General features: G+C 36.1%; 1 protein-coding gene across 2 annotated transcripts in view, besides 1 other annotated feature; it reads left to right on the forward strand.

Annotated features, from left to right (window-relative positions):
- Positions 1-19,609, forward strand: part of ATG4C (autophagy related 4C cysteine peptidase) — an 81,385-nt gene that overhangs the window by 1,549 nt on the left and 60,227 nt on the right. For both annotated transcript variants that reach the window (NM_032852.4, NM_178221.3), the window contains exons 2-3: positions 18,039-18,182; positions 19,492-19,575. In NM_032852.4, the coding sequence (NP_116241.2) occupies positions 18,107-18,182; positions 19,492-19,575 (160 nt within the window). In that variant the 5' untranslated portion in view covers positions 18,039-18,106. The remainder of the gene's footprint in view (positions 1-18,038; positions 18,183-19,491; positions 19,576-19,609) is intronic.
- Positions 15,161-15,210: an enhancer, noted in NCBI's record as "active region_1122". NCBI's record gives its function as "activates an Ori minimal core promoter by ATAC-STARR-seq in GM12878 lymphoblastoid cells {active_cell/tissue: GM12878}" and the evidence as "EXISTENCE:reporter gene assay evidence [ECO:0000049][PMID:35858748]".

Below are 19,609 nucleotides of genomic sequence, written 5' to 3' on the forward strand. Positions count from 1 at the left end.
AGGTTCTTATACTAAGATTATCATTCTTTTTTAAGCTATCAAGTATGATCTATACATGTCAGTAAAATATAAATATTAATACTGGTACAATGTTAAATTGGGATTATTCCTAATTAATGCACAAAATGCTGAAATGGTTTCAGCCATGCTTAAGATTTGGGGCGAAATATATTTCAGAATAAATTTACTCATATAATTTTTTATTGAAAAAAATGATACGGTAGCCATTACTCAATCTTTTAATATTTTTCCTGAGATTTTATTCATTTAGTAGGAATTTAGTGACTACTTACTATTTAACTATTGTCACAAAATCACCAAAACATTTGTTTGTAAGAGTATCCTCTTGTCCTCAGCTCTGCATAGATACTTTTAAAGCATTAGCGCAGTTATTCCAACTAAGCTATTGAGTATTATTTACATTTAACAGATGAAAAAACTGAAGCTTGAAGAATTTAAGGAAATTAATTCAGTTCTTTTCGACTCTTCCCACTGTACAACAGCTGCAAGGATCTGTGCTCTATCCTGAAATATATAAAGAGCGTTAAATCAACATATGCTTACTGAGCAGCTATTCATACCAGACACTCTTCAAGGTGCTGGGGATATAGAGTGAACAAGAAAAGTCCCTGCTCTTAGGGAGCTTATACTCTAGCAGAATGTATGAGATGTAAACTTTCCCTTCAAGAAGCAGAAAATATAGTCAATATGTATTAGATTTTACGGGAGTGTTTTAGAATGTTAAAGGTGAGAAGAGAGATAACTAGGGAATGTTTCATGAAGATGAGATCTAATGTGGAATTTAAATAGTGGTTAGGGATTGGTAGGTAGAAATTAGGACCCTGTCTCAAAAAAAAAAAAAACAAGTGAAAATCTGTGATATAGAATAATTGGTGAGCCTTATAAAGCACTTTATTTTTATTTTTTGGACTATATATAAGTAAAATTGTAATATTTGACATGCATTCAATCATTTAGCATTTATTTATTAACTAGACACTCTTCTAGGCCACAGTGGTATAGTAGTGAGTAAATACGGTGTTTACCCTCATAGAATTTACTAACAGAGGAGGCAGACATAAATCAAATAGTCAAAGAAATTTAAAGTTACAACTGTGGTAAATGCTATTAAAAAAGGACTTGATGTTACACAGAGGAAGAACTGATTACAGAGGGGATAAGAGTGGGGATGGGGAGAGGCCAGTTAGAAGATTGTTGGAGTGGCCCAATTGAGAGATGGTATTTTGGACAAGGTGGTGGTGGTAAGATGGATTCCAGAGGTGTTCAGGAGGTGGAACTAGGCGATGGATTAGATATGGAAGGTGAGGGAGAGGAAGATATCATGGGCTAATCTTAGGTTTTTGGCTTATATAACTGGAAGGATTGTTGCACCCTTCACCGAGGTAGAGAACATCGAAAGAGGACCAGGTTTGGGAAACATGCTTTGTTTATTAGTATTTTTTGTTGTGGTAGCAGTGTTTAAGGTTAATTTCTTAGTTATTTTTACCCTTTTGTGTCATTGTTGTAGTTTTGTATATTTGAGTAATACTATGCCTAAAATAGGTTTTTTTGGTATCATTTTTTCTTGATTGAGCAGGGGTGGGGTTCTACATGAAAGCATCTGGAAATATGTTGGTCTCTGTTTTGAATCTATCTGTAATATATTAAACCATGTATATGAATAGGTAACTGAATAATGCAGTTACATGCCATCTTTATTTTCACTTGAGATTTGGTAGTAAACTGGCATCTGGTTAAATTCTAACTTCATTCATTTGGTACATACATAAATATACATGCATTAGGGAAAAATACATACTTGTGATTTTTCTCTGAAATGCTTCATTCATGTAATTTTTGATAGATATTGAACCCAAACAGTAGTGATTTATAGTTTATTGTTTAAATTTTACATTTCTTAGTAAAGTGGTAGAGTGTATAGAGCAAAGAGACTTTGGTGTCAGACTGCCTGGATTCATGGTCTCTATTTGCTGTATACTAGCAGTATGACCTTGAAGAAGTTATACAGCTTTTCCAAGCCTTTTTTTTTTTAAATTTATAAGATGAGGATAATAATAGTGCCAGCCTTATAGAATTGTTGTGAGAATTAAATGAAATGATATATATACATAGGTTAATAAAATACTTGGTACAGATTTTAAGTGTTTATTATCATTATTATAATAGTGATACTGGGTTCAAGATCATCTTGACTCCTGTGACACCATTTTAATTTTAGGATACCTTGTAACTAATAAAACTCAATTTGAGAAAAAAAATTTATTTGGTATTTAGATTTGGAGAAAATATATAAAATAGTTTTGCTTATTCACTATTGTCCCAGATACACCAGCACATAACATCTTTCACAGAGTTCTGAGATTATGTGTAGTTTACAGCTGTGATAGAAAACTTATGGTGATTAGTTTGTGATTACTTATTGTTTGTTAGGATTATTACCTTTATTTTTAGCCAAACCTTTTCGAAGTTTGAACTTGCTTTTAGCTCTTATTGAATAGGGTGAAGAGTAGTTAGGCTTTATGAAGTCTGATCAGCTGCTCTAAAATCAACCTAACTTCTACTTTTTCCCTTATTTTTTTCTTTTTACTTTCAAACCTGTAAAAACATTGAAATGGTAGTATGACAAATACCTGTACATCCTTTTACCTAGATTCACTAGTTGTTAACATAGTGCCTCTTTTGCTCTCATTCCTTGCTGTTAGACAAGTGCTGTTTCTCTCTCTATAAATACACACACACACACACACACACACACACACCTTTTTTTCTTGCTGAACTATTTGAAAGTAAGGTGGCAACGTGACACTTTACCCCCAAATAATTCATCATGCATCTCCTAAGAACTAGCACATTCTCTTATATAACTATAATGCCATTAGCATATCCAAATAATTTAACCTTGATATGATAATATTGTCTAATATGCAGTCCATATTCAACAATTAGATTTTTCCAAATATCCCAGTAATGTCATTATACCATTACAAAAATACCGAATCCAATTAAAGACATTAATTGTATTTAGTACTTATATGTCTATTTTATCTAGAACAGTCTTTATCATTTCTTTCTTTTTTTGTCTTCAGGTAGAATGCCTCACAAAATTGATTTATCTGATTTTTTCCTCACAATGAGTTTCAGATTGAAGAGTTGTGGGTTTTTCTTTTTTTTTCTTTTTTCTTTTTTTTACTATTACATGGGTGATGTTTTGAACTTTCCATTTAATCATATTAGGATTAACATGATCGTTTATTCCATTATTGGTGATTAAGTTTGATCACTTAGTTTAGCCAGATTTTTATATTCCGAAAGTATGTTTTCCCTTTTGTATTTAGTAATCTGTAGGGGTGATAAATTGAGGTCATGTGGATATTCTGTTTTGCAGGTTTTGTTTTCCTATCCAGTGATTTTAGTAGCCATTGATAAAAGCATTGGTGGTTGCCAAATAGTGATTTCCCACTTCTGTCATTCCTACATGTATTTGCTGGCTCTCTTCTCTAAATAAGAGCTTTCTCTTTTTTATTTTAGTATCACTATGTACCCAAGTATCCTTTTTTTCAAAATCTATGCAGTGCGTTATAATTTGCTACCATCATTCCTTTTGGTGATGAAATTATCTCAAATCTGGTCAGTAGTAGATCCTTCAAGCTGGTTCCCATGAACTTTGGATATGTCCACATTGGTGTTTGAGCACTTTCTTACTCCTATTTGCACAATAAGATGTTCCAGCCTCACCTTGTAAATTTCCTGCTCAATACATGGAATCAGCCATTTTACCACAGAGTCCTGGTTTATTTTAGTGGAAAATGATTCTTAGAAACCAAGATCTGGGCCGGGCGTGGTGGCTCATGCCTGTAATCCCAGCACTTTGGGAGGCCGAGGCGGGTGGATCATGAGGTCAGGAGATCGGGACCATCCTGGCTAACACGGTGAAACCCCATCTCTACTAAAAAATAAAAAAACAAATGAGCCGGGCGTGGTGGCGGGCGCCTGTAGTCCCAGTTACTAGGGAGGCTGAGGCAGGAGAATGGCGTAAACCCGGGAGGCGGAGCTTGGAGTGATCCGAGTTCGCGCCACTGCACTCCAGCCTGGGCGACAGAGCGAGACTCCGTCTCAAAAAAAAAGAAATAAAAGAAATGAAGATCTGGGTATTGAATATGCTCTTTGCTACTGGGGTGTCATTGGTTCTAGACCCTTTAAATGGACACACATATACACTTTTTTTTTTTTTGAGACAGTGTCTTGCTCTTGTTGCCCAGGCTGGAGTGCAATGGCGGATCTTGGCTCACCGCAACCTCTGCCTCCTGGGTTCAAGCGATTCTCCTGCCTCAGCCTCCCGAGTAGCTGGGATCACAGATATGTGCCACCACACCCAGCTAGTTTTGTATTTTTAGTAGAGACAGAGTTTCTCCATGTTTGTCAGGCTGGTCTCGAACTCCGGACCTCCGGTAATCCACCCGCCTCGGCCTCCCAAAGTGCTGGGATTACAGGCGTGAGCCACTGTACCCGGCCAACATATACATTTTTTAAGAAATCATGAGTTCATAGGATACCTTCAATTCAAATTCAACACTGCAGAGTTCTCATCACTTCCTTCCAATTCCTGTTTATATCTCTGTTTTCCCAAAGAGAGAATTCTGATTCTCAATTATATCACTATTTTTACTCATCTAACCTATCCTACAACACACATAAAATAGTTTTGGAATTACTAGACTGACTGATACCGCTTCCAGCAACAGATTTACCAAGTAAAGATTTCTTTGCCATTTTATGTTCTTAGAATATATCCCACTAAAGGTATATATAGTCAAAATAGGTGTTCAAAGTTATTTGAATTATTTTTTCTGTGTGATTATGTTATGAATGTAAAATATAGTTAGGTTCCTACTAAATTACTTTTTAATATACTCTTTGTAAAATCAGTTATCTGTAAAACTACTAAAGTGACATAATTTAAAACTTTGTAATATATAGTTATAGAGAACTCTAGAACAGTTATATCAGCTGGAGAATATTAAGTTTTAAGACTTGTAAGCTCTAAACTTGTAGCTCTATTTTTTCAGTTATAATGATATTTAAAATTAGGAGTGCAAGAAAAGTGACATCAAGTGATTCCATTTGTAAACCAAAACAATTGTGTTTGTGAACATTTTAAACAATGCTCTTCTTTTAACTGATGATACAATTCAAGCATTAATCTTTAACAATAGACATAATTGTTGGGGGTACTTTAACTAATTCCCAAGTAATAGGTCTAATGTTTTCCTGTATTTATAACCAGAATGGAAAGATTTATGTTTTTTGTTAAGTCCTTCTTTGTATTTGAAGAATACTTGTTGTGACTGTATTTTACCCTGTGATATTATTCATGTGTGAATATTCTCATTGGAAAGGGGGAAAATATGTCTCTTAATAGTTATGATACTTTATATCTCTATTGTGAGATATAACCACATTCAGCCTTATGGTTAGTTATAACCATTTTGCTTATTAGAATGTAAGATTAATGAGGGCAGATACTGGGTTTCATGGCTCATTGTATCTCCCTCAGTGCCTTGTAGGAGTAACCACTCAAATACTTGATGAATAAATGTGATATTTTGTGTTTAAATTACATGTAGTACTAGCTTCAGTAATATGGATGCACCTTTTTCTTGGCAAGAGTAACTAATATAATGGGTCTTGGAAATGGTCTTATCCATTGTCGTAGTCTGTCTTTCATTGCTTATAACAGAATAACTGAAACTGGGTAATTTATGTAAAAAAGGAATTTATTCCTTATAGTTAACAAAAGCTGAAAAGTCCAAGGTTGAGGAGCTACATTTGGTGAGGGCCTTCTTGCTGGTGGGGATTCTGCAGAGTCCTGAGGTGGTGCAGGGCATCACATGGTGAAGGAGCTAAACACACTAGCTCCAGTCTCACTTTCTCTTCTTGTAAAGCCACCAGTTCCACTCCTCTGATAACCTGTTAATCCATTAATCCATGAGTGAATTAATTTATTTATGAGGGCAGAACCCCAGTTACCCAGTCATCTCTTAAAGGCACCATGATAACATTCATATTTACTTATTACATACCTCAAAATCACTGTATCTTAAACTGAATTTCCTATCTTCACCTTAGTCTTCTCTACTTGGGTTCCCTGTTTCAGCTAATGGAACCATTATGCTCCTAGACATTAGACCTGAAATCTCATAGTCACTTTAGTCTCCTCTCTGGTATGTGGGCATATACACATCCATATATTTGTATGATGTTGCTCGGTCTACCATGTCAACTTGCTACTTTTATCTACTCTTTTCTTTTTTTTTAAGATGGAGTCTTGCTTTGTCGCTCAGGCTGTCGTACAGTGGCACAATCTCGGCTCACTGCAACCTCTGCCTCCGGGGTTCAAGCAGTTCTCTGCCTCAGCCTCCTGAGTAGCTGGGATTACAGGCACCCACCACCATGCCCGGCTAATTTTTGTATTTTTAGTAGAGACAGGGTTTCACCAACTTGGCCAGGATGGTCTTGAACTCCTGACCTCGTGATCCACCCGCCTCGGCCTCCCAAAGTGCTGGGATTACAGGTGTGAGCCACCACGCCCGGCCTTATCTACTCATTTCTAATCCTTTCACCAGTACCCTGATTGAGGTTCTCATTACCACTCATAGACAGTCTTCTGATCAGTTGAAGGAATTGGGACATTTAATGTAGAAAAGAGAAGATTGGGGGATAGGGAGGTTAGGAGGTATGTCTTTAAATATCAGATGGGCTCTCCAATGGAAGGATTAGTTTCAGAGGTTACAACCAGGACCAGTTAGTGAAAATAATGTATAGACAGAAACTTGGTTCCACATAATATCATTTTAGCAAATCTAGTTGTTTAAAATTAGCAGGTATCATGTAGTTACTATGGATACTCTAAAACAGTTATGGATGCTCTAGAACAGATATGAAAATACACAGTTTAAAACATCATCAGGCTTTTACATTTATAGCATATTTTGAGTTTAGTACAATATTCATTTAGTACTGACCTCCCTTTTCTAGAAGTAAGTGTTCAGTCAGAGGCTGAGGGACTGCAGTTGGCAAGGATGTTTTAAAGGAGATCTTTTTACTGTATAGGTGGTTGAACCCAAGTAGTAGCTGGTTATTAGTGAGTCTGAACCAGAGAGCAGATCACAGCTCTCAGGGTGGTAGTGATTTTTTTTTTTTTTGGAAACGGAGTCCTGCTCAGTCGCCCAGGCTGGAGTGCAGTGGCGCGATGTCGGCTCACTGCAAGCTGCACGTCCCGGGTTCACGCCATTCTCCTGCCTTAACCTCCCGAGTAGCTGGGACTACAGGCGCCTGCCACCACGCCCGGCTAATTTTTTGTATTTTTAGTAGAGACGGGGTTTCACCGTGTTAGCCAGGATGGTCTCGATCTCCTGACCTCATGATTCGCCCGCCTCGGCCTCCCAAAGTGCTGGGACTACAGGCGTGAGCCACCGCGCCCGGCCATGATTTTTTAAATTCTTTTAAATTTACACATTTTCTTTCACTACTCCTCTCCACCCAAGTACTATTGATTAGGAAGGATTAATGATAGCTTGTATTGTGTGAGACAATGGTCAAGAACTACTGTTAATATTAATACTTACTAGTGCCAGGCACAGTGGCTCATGCCTGTAGTCCTAGAACTTTGGGAGGCTGAGGCGGGCGGATCACTTGAGGTCAGGAGTTTGAGATCAGCCTGGGCCATATGGCAAAACCCCATCTCTACAAAGAATAGAAAAAAGTAGCCAGGTGTGGTTGTGCCTGCCTGTAGTCCCAACTACTAGGGAACTGAGGTGGGAGGATTACTTGAGCCTGGGAGATCAAGGCATTTGGCACTGCACTCCAGCCTGGGCAACAGAGTAAGACCTTGTCTCGAAAAAAAAAAAAAAAAAAAAAAACCAAAAAAACAAACAAAAAACCAACACACACACAAAACACCAAAAAACAAAAAAAGTATTAGTTATTAGATGCTTTATAAATTCTCTTTCAGTCCTGAGATTCTTAACATCCTTCATTTCTTGTAGGGGTTAATTATACTTTGTTGATTAAATGATTTGACTCTTTACCTCTTATGTAAAGATAGCAGTCTATATAAGACTCTATAAGTCTCTATATAAGTCTCTATATTAACTTACGGTGTTACCTCTTATGTAAAGACTACTATCTCTATATAAGAGGTTAACACCGTGAGTTAATATTAAGAGCTTGGAAAGTTGCGTTTTGAAGTAGGGAGGCTCCAAGTATTCGTAGTTACCTTCGACTTATCAGAGGTTACTAAGAACCTGACATAATTAAAATGTATTTATCAAACAACTGTGTGGTAAATATTATGTTCTTCTTAGAGATAAGATCAAGGCTTAAGGCTATCTTAAAACAGCCTAGGTGTCATTAATAATTCTTATTTTGGTCTTCAAGTACATGATTGAGGTCATTTAAACTCCTTACATCTTATTTAGGTTGGTTATGATGATTACTTTGCACAGTCTGTGAACATGTAATATGCAGTGCTGCAGAAGTGGAGGTTTTTGCCACAAGCCAGGTGTGAGGAACTTGGTAGAAGTCATGTGTGACCATAAATGTGTGTCTGCTTAATACTTAGTTTCTTTCATGTGTATTTTACTCGTTAGATTTAAGAGAAGAATGCATTGGTATTTTATTTAAGTCATCATTATAAAGTAGCTGTGCATTGATTCAGTGTTTTTTATTGGAGGATGTGATCCTGAGGAGTCCTAAGAATGTTTGTAAGATTTTTCTTGAGGCAAAACTATCTTATTAGTCTCTCTGCTATCAGCCCTTTATTCTTCTTTTCAAAGCCATTTTCTGAACCTGCATGTCCTGCCTTTATTGTGTTGCTGTTCCTTTTTTCAGTCTTTTTGTCATTATCTCTTACTGCCATCTACCTTGCCTACCCCTTAGCTCTGAAAGGGGACACTGCACATAAATATTACTATTGCTCTCCCCTTCATATTTGCCACTTTTTAAAAAGATAAGGAAAAGAATTTACAAACTGACCATTTATAGAGTACAAGTTCAGTGCATGAAGATAGAAGATTGGCAGGTATCGGTGAAGAGAAGGAATAGAAATGGACACAATAATTGATGTTTCTGTAAACAAAGAGGAGGGAGAGAAGAAATGAGAAGCAGAGATGATAGCCCATTGTGTTAGAGACCTTCAAGATCAGATAAGGGATTGATATTTCTTACTAAAAATGCAAGCAGGTAGAAAAGGTTACATAGATAAAAAACTTAGAGTAGACTTCACAGTTCATTTTATTTGATGATATAGCTAAAAGCACATCCAAAATTCTAAATCAATATCTATATTTCATCTAGCAGCAGAATACTATTTGAGGAAGATGCCTGAGCATTCGCAAATTCCAGAGGTCTGCGGTGTTTTTACCCATTGCACTATGTGACTGAGATGTATTCCATAGACTTAATCCCTAAAGTTCTGCCAGGAGCATTTACTTGGCCTTAAATCCTCAGTGGATAAAGTAGTCTACTTATTGCTAGATGGGAGAGGCTGATTACCTTCACCTGCCCTTCTTGTACATTGATTTGAGTACTCTTTACATTTATCAGTTTACAGTTTTTTGACTATCTTAATGCATGGTTATTGGTTAGAAAAGTGACTCTCTAAAAATGACATCTGGGTCTCAATCGATAATTTTCATATCAGATGTAGCTCTGCTCTCCAAAAGAATTCTGCTTAGTCTTCACTGTGCTTTTTGTATCATTAACCGTAAAGTTAGGAATAAACCTCATCTGTTAGCTTTACCTTTGTTTACTGAGATAGGATAAAATAGTTTTCTTCTCTTTAATACTATTAGCATCTAATTAAAATGGATTTGTTAGAATGTTAACAATGCACAGAAATATGAAGATGGCAGGTGATAAGGTTGTTGTAGTATGTGTTAGTAAAGAACATCTGCTTGAAAAAAGATTTAGTAATTTTTCTAAGCCGGGGATGGTGATGGATGCCCGTAGTCCCAGCTACTTGGAAGGCTGAGGCAGGAGGATTGCTTGAATGCAGGAGTTTAAGTCTGCAGTGAACTATGATTGTGCCACTGCACAGTCCATCCTAGGCAACAGAGGGAGACCCCTTTTTACTTAAAAAAAAAAAAAAGAAGAGAAGATTTAATAATTTCTCATAGTTTTTAAAGAAATAATTCATAAGCGCCTTCTAAAAATAGTTTGGAAATTGTGAAGTATATTATTTTGATGCTTTCCAGACTGAGAATCTAATGACACCACATAGAATAAACAGGAATTTTGGCATATCAGTTAATCACTGGGGCAGTGAAACCAGGCATTTTAACTGCTACAGGGATTGAAATATACTGACAGAGAAGACATCCTATTACAAAATTCCTAATTTTATAATTATGGCTAAATTATTACTTTTCTTTATGCTTTGTAGTCAAATGCATTTTAATTTTTTTTTTTTTAACAAAAGCAGGCAAGCGGTTTCCTCATTTGTGTGGGTTTTTTTTTTTTTTTTTTTTGCTCATTTGTAGTTAAACTAAAGGTACTGTTTGTCTTGCTTTCCTTGGCTTATCTGACACAAATATAAATAAAATATTTTAATAGAACAAAGCATTAATTTATTACTTTTTCTCTTTCCAAATGTTACCCCATTTATTTTAAGGAGAAACAAAAATTATGAATTAACAAGGAATAATCCTCCAAGTTACTTTATTTAGCTAGAGTTGCCATGGGGAATTAAATTGAGGAAGTTAAATGTTCACATGACTAAATAGCTGAATCTGATGTCTTTAAGAACCACAAGAATAAGGTTCTTTATCTTAAAAAGGAGAAAAAAAATGTCTCAGCATTTTAACTTTATCAGCTGTTTAGGAATTTTGTCATAGGATATCTTCTCTGTCAATTTTCTAGTCCAGCAGTTTCAGTTGTATTGTTAGAATTTAATATAACCTGGTTATATTTGTAATTTAGTGTATTCAGTTTTTTATTTGAGCAGTTTACTTTTGAATAATATTGATGTTTTTTAAAAGATGCTCAATGTGAACAATTTAAATCATAAAGAGAAATACAAAGAGGAAAGTCAAAGTAGAGGTTCATTTCTTAGATGCCAACATTATGGGCTGGGCGCGGTGGCTCACACCTGTAATCCCAGCATTTTGGGAGGCCAACGTGGGCGAATCACCTGAGGTCAGGAGTTTGAGACCAGCCTGGCCAACATGGTGAAACCCCGTCTCTACTAAAAATACAAAAATTAGCTGGGCATGGTGGCACATGCCTGAAATCCCAGCTACTCCTGAGGCTGATGCAGGAGAATTGCTTGAAACTGGGAGGTGGAGGTTGCAGTGAGCTGAGATCGCACCATTGCACTCTGGGTGGGCAACAGAGCAAGACTCTGTCTCGGGGAAAAAGAAAAAAAAAGAAACTAACATTATGAACTTCTAGACATTGTTTTATGTATATATGTACATGTGTGGGCATATGTATATACATATATGATATTTATGTATCGACATGCATAAGTTATATTTATGCTGTTCCCCTTTTTTTCTCACTCAATGCCCTCGATATCTTTTTATAGTGATATAGATCTATATAATTATAATATGTATATGCCATAATTTAGTCATCAGCAGATGATTTTATGTCTGTTAGTGCTGGCTGTGCTATTCTCTTCCATCAAAGAGTTAATAATTTGAGAAATAATTATGTTATTGTTTATGAGTTAATAATTTGAGAAATAGTTATGTTATTGTTAATTATGCTTGTTTTTTCAGGATTGGCAGTTTGATCTCTTGTGATGAAAAAATTCATTTAATGTACATTTCTTAGGTCTAGTAAGGTTGAAAATATTTTGTATGTTTATGGCCTTTTTCTTTTTCCAATTGCCTTTTTTTCTGTTTAGGTTTTTCCTTATTGATTTATAAGACCTTTTTGTATATTAAGGACATTAACTCTTTATATATGTAATTGGTAATTGGTATTGAACTTTTTTCCTTATTGTTGGATTGTAACAACCTTATACTGTTTTTCTTCTTTCTCTACAAAGTTTTCATTTTTATTTAATTACATTTTCCTGTCTGATTTCTGGTTTTGTATATACCATGCTTAGAAAAACCTTTTCTTTTTTTTTGAGATAGAATCTTGCTCTGTTGTCCAGGCTGGAGTGAAGTAGCACAATCTCAGCTCACTGCAACCTCCACCTCCTGGGTTGAAGCAATTCTTCTGCCACAGTCTCCCAAGTAGCTGAGATTACAGGCGCGTGCCACCACACCTGGCTAATTTTTTTGTATTTTTAGTAGAGACGAGGTTTCACCATGTTGGCCAGGCAGGTCTTGAACTCCTGACCTCAGGTGACCCACCCACTTTAGCCTCCCAAAGTGTGGGGATTACAGGCATGAGCCCACTGTGCCCAGCCAGAAAGGCCTTTTCTACCCCAAGATTTAAAAAATAATTTAAATCTGTGTTTCTTTGGAGTATGTGCACATATGTGTTTGCATTTGTATTTAAATATTTGATTCATCTAGAATTCATCATTTATTGAGGTAGTCATCTAGCTTTATTTTAAAAACTGTCTAGCTTATTGTTTTAGCATTATTTATTAAATTAGCCATCTTTTCTCACTTGTGTAGTTATTTTTCATATTAGGTACTAAATTCTTAAATACGCTTGGGTTTATATTTGTGCTCTCCATTATGTTTTATTCAGTGTTATCCTGTGCTAATAAGAAAAATAAATTTAAATAGTACTAAACTTTACTGTAGTTTTATAGTGTGTTTTAATATGTGGTAAGGCAACTCTCCTCTTCAATCGGAATTTTTGGTTATCCTTTATAAAGTGTCTCAATTTGTGATACTTTCCAACATGGCTCAAGGGATCATCTTTCAAAATAATCTCTGATTTCTCCAAAGTTAAGATTTTTAGAAACAGCCATTTTAATATTTGTTTTTTTTTTTTGGAGACAGAGTCTTGCTCTGTTGCCCAGGCTGGAGTGCAGTGGCACAGTCTTGGCTCACTGCAAGCTCTGCCTCGCAGGTTCAAGTGATTCTCCTGCCTCAGCCTCCTGAGTAGCTGGGATTACAGGCATGCACCACCATGCCTGGCTAATTTTTATATTTTTAGTAGAGATGGGGTTTCGCCATGTTGGTCAGGCTGGTCTCAAACCCCTGACCTCGTGATCCACCCACCTTGGCCTCCTAAAGTGCTGGGATTATAGGCGTGAGCCACCGCCCCTGGCTATTTATTTATTTTTGAGACAGTATCTTGTTCTGTCGTCCAGGTTGGAGTGCAGTAGCACAATCATCGCTTACTGCAGCCAGCTCAAGTGATCCCCCAACCTCACCAGTAGCTGGGACTGTAGGCACACGCCACCATGTCTGGCTAATTTTTAATTTTATAGGGAGAAAAACTCACTATGTTGTCCAGGCTGGTCTTGAAAACTCGGCTCCAGCATTTCTCCCCTTCAGCCTCCCAAAGTGTGGGGATTGCAGGTGTGAGCCACCACACCAGGCTCCATTTAAATTTTTGTTACAGAAATAAAGTGGGTTTCAGTCTTTACAGAAAAATGGAATTTAATTTTAGTCATATGAAAAGTAACTATGCTGAATTATTTATTAAACTAGCAACAACTCATCTTTAGTTTAACCTTACGAAAATAATTTTATCGTTCTCAACTACTCTATCTAACAATGATAATGAAAGTATTTTCATAGAATAGTTAAGGATGTGTCCCAGAGGCATTTCAATTGTTTCAAGTTTGGGGGTAAAGTTACTCTGAGTAAATAGTGTAGCTACATAGCAGGAGTTTTGACCAAAAATAATGAAATAACAACTCAACAATTTATTCCACTCCAAGTGCCTTTGAGGTTAGAATATTTGTTTCATTAATTTCTGTATCTATCACAGCATCTTAATTTTTAATTTTAATTTTTGTGGGTACATAGTAGGTGTATATATTTATGGGGTACATGAGATGTTTTGATATAGACATGAAATGTGTCATACTTACATCATGAAAAATGGGGTATCCATTCCCTCAAGCATATATCCTTTGTATTACAAACAATCCAGTTATGCTCTTTTAGTTATTTTTAAATGTTCAATTAAATTATTATTGACTATAATCCCCCGTTGTGCTATCAAATACTGGGTCATATTCATTCTTTCTATTTTTTTTTTTTTGTACCCATTAACCATTCCCACCTCTCCCCAACCTTCTCATTACCCTTCCTAGCCGCTGGTAACCATCCTTCCACTCTCTGCCTCCATGGATTTGTCACAGCATCTTATCTTGCTTTTGTATTTACTTAGGCATCATTATCTAAGATATAGACTTCCCCATATAACATGTCTAATTGCTCACTGTCTTCATTTTTTCCCCATCCAGATTAAGGCATCTTGGTTTTCACACTTGCTGAGGACTGTCCAGAGTATTCTGGATGGCTGGTGATGAGAACTGTCTGAACCAAAAAGTCTTCCCTGTGGCCTTCTTTCTTTCAGACTTAGAAAGAAGATACCTGCATGCACATACTCTCATTAAAAAATTTTGGATCTAGAAGACCAAGCTTGGTGGCTTTTTAAAAATAATTTTTTTAAATTCTAAAAATAATAAATGTTTTTGTATAAGATTTGGAAAATGTGGGCAACTGTGGTATAAAAATAACCACAGAGAAACTACTTTTAACATTTTGCTGTACTTCTTTCTTACTTTCTAACTCCCTTCATTCCCCCTTCGCTGTCCCTGCGCTTGCCTGTGTCATATGACACATAAGTTTCAGATTCTGCATAGTGTTTCCCCATTTTAGGAGACATTTTTAATGGATGCATAATCCATCATGTGGATGCACTATATATAATTCACACATTTTATAAACTCTTTTCCTTTTCTTGCTTTTCCAGATTTTGCTAAATTATGTATGCAGTTTTCTTGAGGAAAATTCGTCTTTCCTTTTCTTTATTCTAGTGTCAGTTAAAAAAAAATTCTAATTCTGGTGAGAGTGCTGCTAGTGATATACCTATATTTCATATCAGTTCACTGATTCCTTTAATAAATATTTTTGAGAACCAATTCTGTGCCAGGCAGAATTTAAGAACAGTCAGTTACAGTATAGTGCAATGAATGTGGTGATACAGGAAAACGTAGGATCCTATGAGAACTAAGAGAAGGATACCTATCTTAGTTTAAAGTTTAGAGAGGGCAGTCAGGAAATCTTACCAGTCTTACCAGAGGAAGTGAAACCAAAGCTGGGTTTCAGGGACTCCATGATAGTAAGGTCATCATACAGTGAGGGTGAGCAGTAAGGCACTTGAGTTAGAGGGAACAGATGCAAAGGCATGAGGTACCAGATAACATACCAAGTTCAGGAAGCTTTGATATTAATATTAAATGTGGTTTCAGCATATGCTGCATGTGAAGTAGTAAAAGAGGAAGCTGAGTAAGTAGGCAGAGGTTATTTCATGAAGGGCCTTAAATATCATCCTTAAGTACCAGGAACTATGCCAAGTGCTAGGGGTATAAACAAAAAAAACAGAGTCCTTGAGGAATGTGTTTATAGCTTTCATTCTCGTTTATGCGTCAGCAGTTCTCAAATTAATATGCCTAGCCCAGACCTCTCCTTTGAGCTCCAGATCTATATATCCAACTGCCTAGTTGATTGACATCCCGAGAATATATCTAGAGTGTAAATTCCAAGAGAACAGGTATTTCATTGCCTTTGTTCTCAGCTGTACCTGCAGTGCCTAGAACAGTGCCTGGCAATAATTTATCTAATGATTAAAGAAAAGAATGGCAGGGCGTGGTGGCTCGCGCCTGTAATCCCAGCACTTTGGGAGACCAAGGTGGGTGGATCACGAGGTCAGGAGTTCAAGACCAGCCTGCTGGGAGGCGGAGATTGCAGTGAGCCGAGATGTTGCCACTGTACTCCAGCCTGGGAGACAGAGCGAGACTCCATCTTAAAAAAAAAATAAAAAAGAAGGCCGGCGCAGTGGCTCACGCCTGTAATCCCAGCACTTTGGGAGGCCGAGGCGGGCGGATCACGAGGTCAGGAGATGGAGACCATCCTGGCTAACACGGTGAAAACCCGTCTCTACTAAAAGTACAAAAAATTAGCCGGATGTGGTGGCAGGCGCCTGGAGTCCCAGTTACTCGGGAGGCTGAGGCAGGAGAATGGCATGAACCGGGGAGGCGGAGCTTGCAGTGAGCTGAGATTGCGCCACTGCACTCCAGCTTGGGGGACAGAGCAAGACTCTGTCTCCAAAAAAAAAAAAAAAAAAAAAAAAAAAGAAAAAAAGAAAAGAACTACTCTCTGCTTGTGTTTCTCAGAGACATCTTAAATACCACATATCTCAAATCAAATTCATAATCTTCTCCCTCTAACCTCTCCCTCTCCTGATGTTTCCTATCTCAGTGATTGGCACCATCTGTTTAGTTTCACACACCAAAGCCTGGGTATATCTTTGGCATATCCCTGTTCTTTACCTTCCATATCCATTGTATCACCAAGACTTACTGAATTTTCTACATGTTTCCTCAGATGTCCATTTCTCCATCTTCACTGCTCCAGTCCAAGCTATCATCTCCTAGTCCTGTATAATACAGGTTGAGCATCCTTAATCCGAAAATCAGAAATCTGAAATTTTCCAGGATCTGTAACCTCTTGAGTGCCAACATGATGCTCAAAGGAAATGCTCATTGGAGCATTTTGGATTTTGGATTTTCGGATTAACGATCCTCAACTAGTAAGTATACATAATGCAAATATTAAAAAAAAAAAAAAAGAAATCCAAACACTTCCAGTCCCAAGCATTTTGGATAAGGGATACTCAACCTGTAGTGGTAAACTCATTATCTACTTTTATTCCTTTCCATGTTCTTCTCCATGCTGCTATTGAAGTAAAACAAACAAACCTACTGAATCTGGTTATGATATTCCTGTTTGAAACAAATTGCTCTTAGGATAAAGAACAAAATTTTTAACCTGGTCTACAAGGCCGTTTGTGCTTTGGCATCTATATAACCCTATAGCCTCATCTCATGCCACTTTTTTAGACATCTCATGCCACTTTTTTAGACTTTTCTGTTTTCTAGTCACATTGACTTTTTAAGTTCTTCCAATAGACCATGCTTTCTCCTGGCTCAGAACTATGATGTATAATTGGTAACTTTTAATACATATTATAAAATGGAATGTCTATTGTTAGAGAAATGAATGTATCAATATTTTTGAGTAGATATTTCTAATCTTAAAAGGGTAATGTTCTGTGCAGCATTCTTTTCTTGAAAAGTAAACTGTGAATTATTGCAAATAAGCACAAGCATTTTCAGTTATAATTTGTTCCTTTTGAGATTATATCACACATCTCAATTTTCCCTAAAGTCAGTAATAAAACAGACACTTATGAGCTACATTTATTCTATTTTAAAGTAAGAACATTTTCCGTTATAAATTTAAGCCGTTCTGTTTGTTTAAGTGCTGCAGTATGGAGATAGGAAGGAAACATAGGAAATGTCTTATTTAAAAAACAAAACAAAATAATTAGACTTTATGTGATGTGAAAGTAGTGACTAATCAATATAAGTGGAAGCTTCCATTCTGAAGATAGTCAAGATTTTTTATAAGATTTCAAATCACCTTCTCTAATGACAGATAAAACAAATCTTGGATATTCTCACTTGCGCCAATGCACCAGAGCAGAGCTGTGTTACTAAATTGATTTATTGTATTCAATTGTGAGCAGTTGGGGGAGATTATTGCTTGGTTTTGCATGATAGGTTTATTGTTGTATATTTGTTAGTAAAGGTTTTTTGTAATTAAAATATAGAATATCTTATTCTATAAGATTTCTGTTTGTAAAATGAGAAATTGGTTTTCTGTTTATTTCTGAGTATAAAAAGAGAAATTGTTTTGTTCATTTGCAGTTCAAACTGTATTTAATCACTTAAGTAACTTTAACAGGTATTGCTCCATGTAACCATATATGTAGTAATTACTGATTTTTTTCCTTAATTTTTAAAGTCAGTATAAAAGATTAAACTCTACAGAAGAATGCAATCAAGTGATGGCTTTTCCTTTAGAATTTGAATATGGAGGCTACAGGAACAGATGAAGTTGACAAGCTAAAAACCAAATTTATATCTGCTTGGAACAACATGAAATATAGTAAGTATCATGTTTTAAAAATTGTATAAATCCAAAGAAATATTTGACAATATTTATCATTTCCCCTCTTAAGTCACTGACAATTTCTTGAGAATAAATGGCATACTTTACTTTGAATGAAATATTTCTATAAGGAATGTAGTTAAAAATATCTCCTGAAGAAAGAGCCAAGTATCATCATAAACATTGCCTAGAAACTCAAGCATACGATGTGGTCTCCTTTTTTCTTTTTTTTTTTTTTTGAGACTTAGTCTCGCTCTGTCACACAGGCTGGAGTGTAGTGGTGCAATCTCAGCTCACTGCAACCTCTGCCTCCCAGGTTCAAGTGATTCTTCTGCCTCAGCCTCCTGAGTAGCTGGGACTACAGGTGCGCACTACCACACCTGGCTAATTTTTTTTTTGTATTTTTAGTAGAGATTGGGTTTCACCATGTTGGTCAGGCTGGTCTTGAACTCTTGACCTCGTGATCCGCCCACCTTGGCCTCCCAAAGTGCTGGGATTACAGGCGTGAGCCACTGGGCCTGGCCTTTTTTCCTTTTTTTTTAAGTTGCTAGAGTATATTAATATCCTCATGTCTTGCATAATTTTTTTTTTTTAGCGTTCTAAAACATATAGAATTTATTCAGGTGATGATAATACCTTGGCTTTTCAGATACAATTTCAGGCAGCCTCATCTCTGTGCCAGGAAATAAGCAAAATAGGCCTCTTCCCACACAAAATAGACTGTAAAGTTCGTGCACTGATACCTCTGATTTTTCTCCTAGATATTATTTTTAACCTAGTTCCTTTTGATTTGCAAACAAATCTAATAAGGAGTATATGGCTATTTTTGAAGCCCACCTAAGATGGAGAAGTACTTGGGCAGAACCAGCTTCAACAGGAAAAAAGCTCATATTCATAAAATAAGTGTGAAAACAGAATTCAGTAAAACCCCTTGATAATGCAAATTCAGGAAAAACACAATTGGCAGTTTAAATTATGTACCATAAGAACATTGTGAGAACTTGATAAAGACCGTTATGAGATATCTGAAAATAAATTAAAATTAAAATTTTTTCTTTCTTATGTCCTTTAATTGGATAGTTTTTAAAGTGTGTTTAAAATTCTTAACTTTATTTGAAACTAGCATAAATTGCCTTTATTTCCAGTTCATTGTTCAAATATTGTATTTTGCAACTGTTGCCAAAAATGCACATCCATAAATAATAATTGATGGTTTGAAATTAAATAAAAGAAAACGCTGCTAGACTTTTAGTCTGAAATCTTTTAATTACAAAACGTTTTCTTTTCTTTTTTTTTTTTTTGCTAGGTTGGGTGTTGAAAACAAAGACGTATTTTAGTAGAAATTCTCCTGTATTATTGCTTGGAAAATGTTACCATTTTAAATATGAAGGTAAGTACAAAATTTGTAAACCATTTAAAAATTT

This window comes from Homo sapiens, chromosome 1 (genome assembly GCF_000001405.40).
Source record: "Homo sapiens chromosome 1, GRCh38.p14 Primary Assembly".
Taxonomy (NCBI): Eukaryota; Metazoa; Chordata; class Mammalia; order Primates; family Hominidae; genus Homo; species Homo sapiens.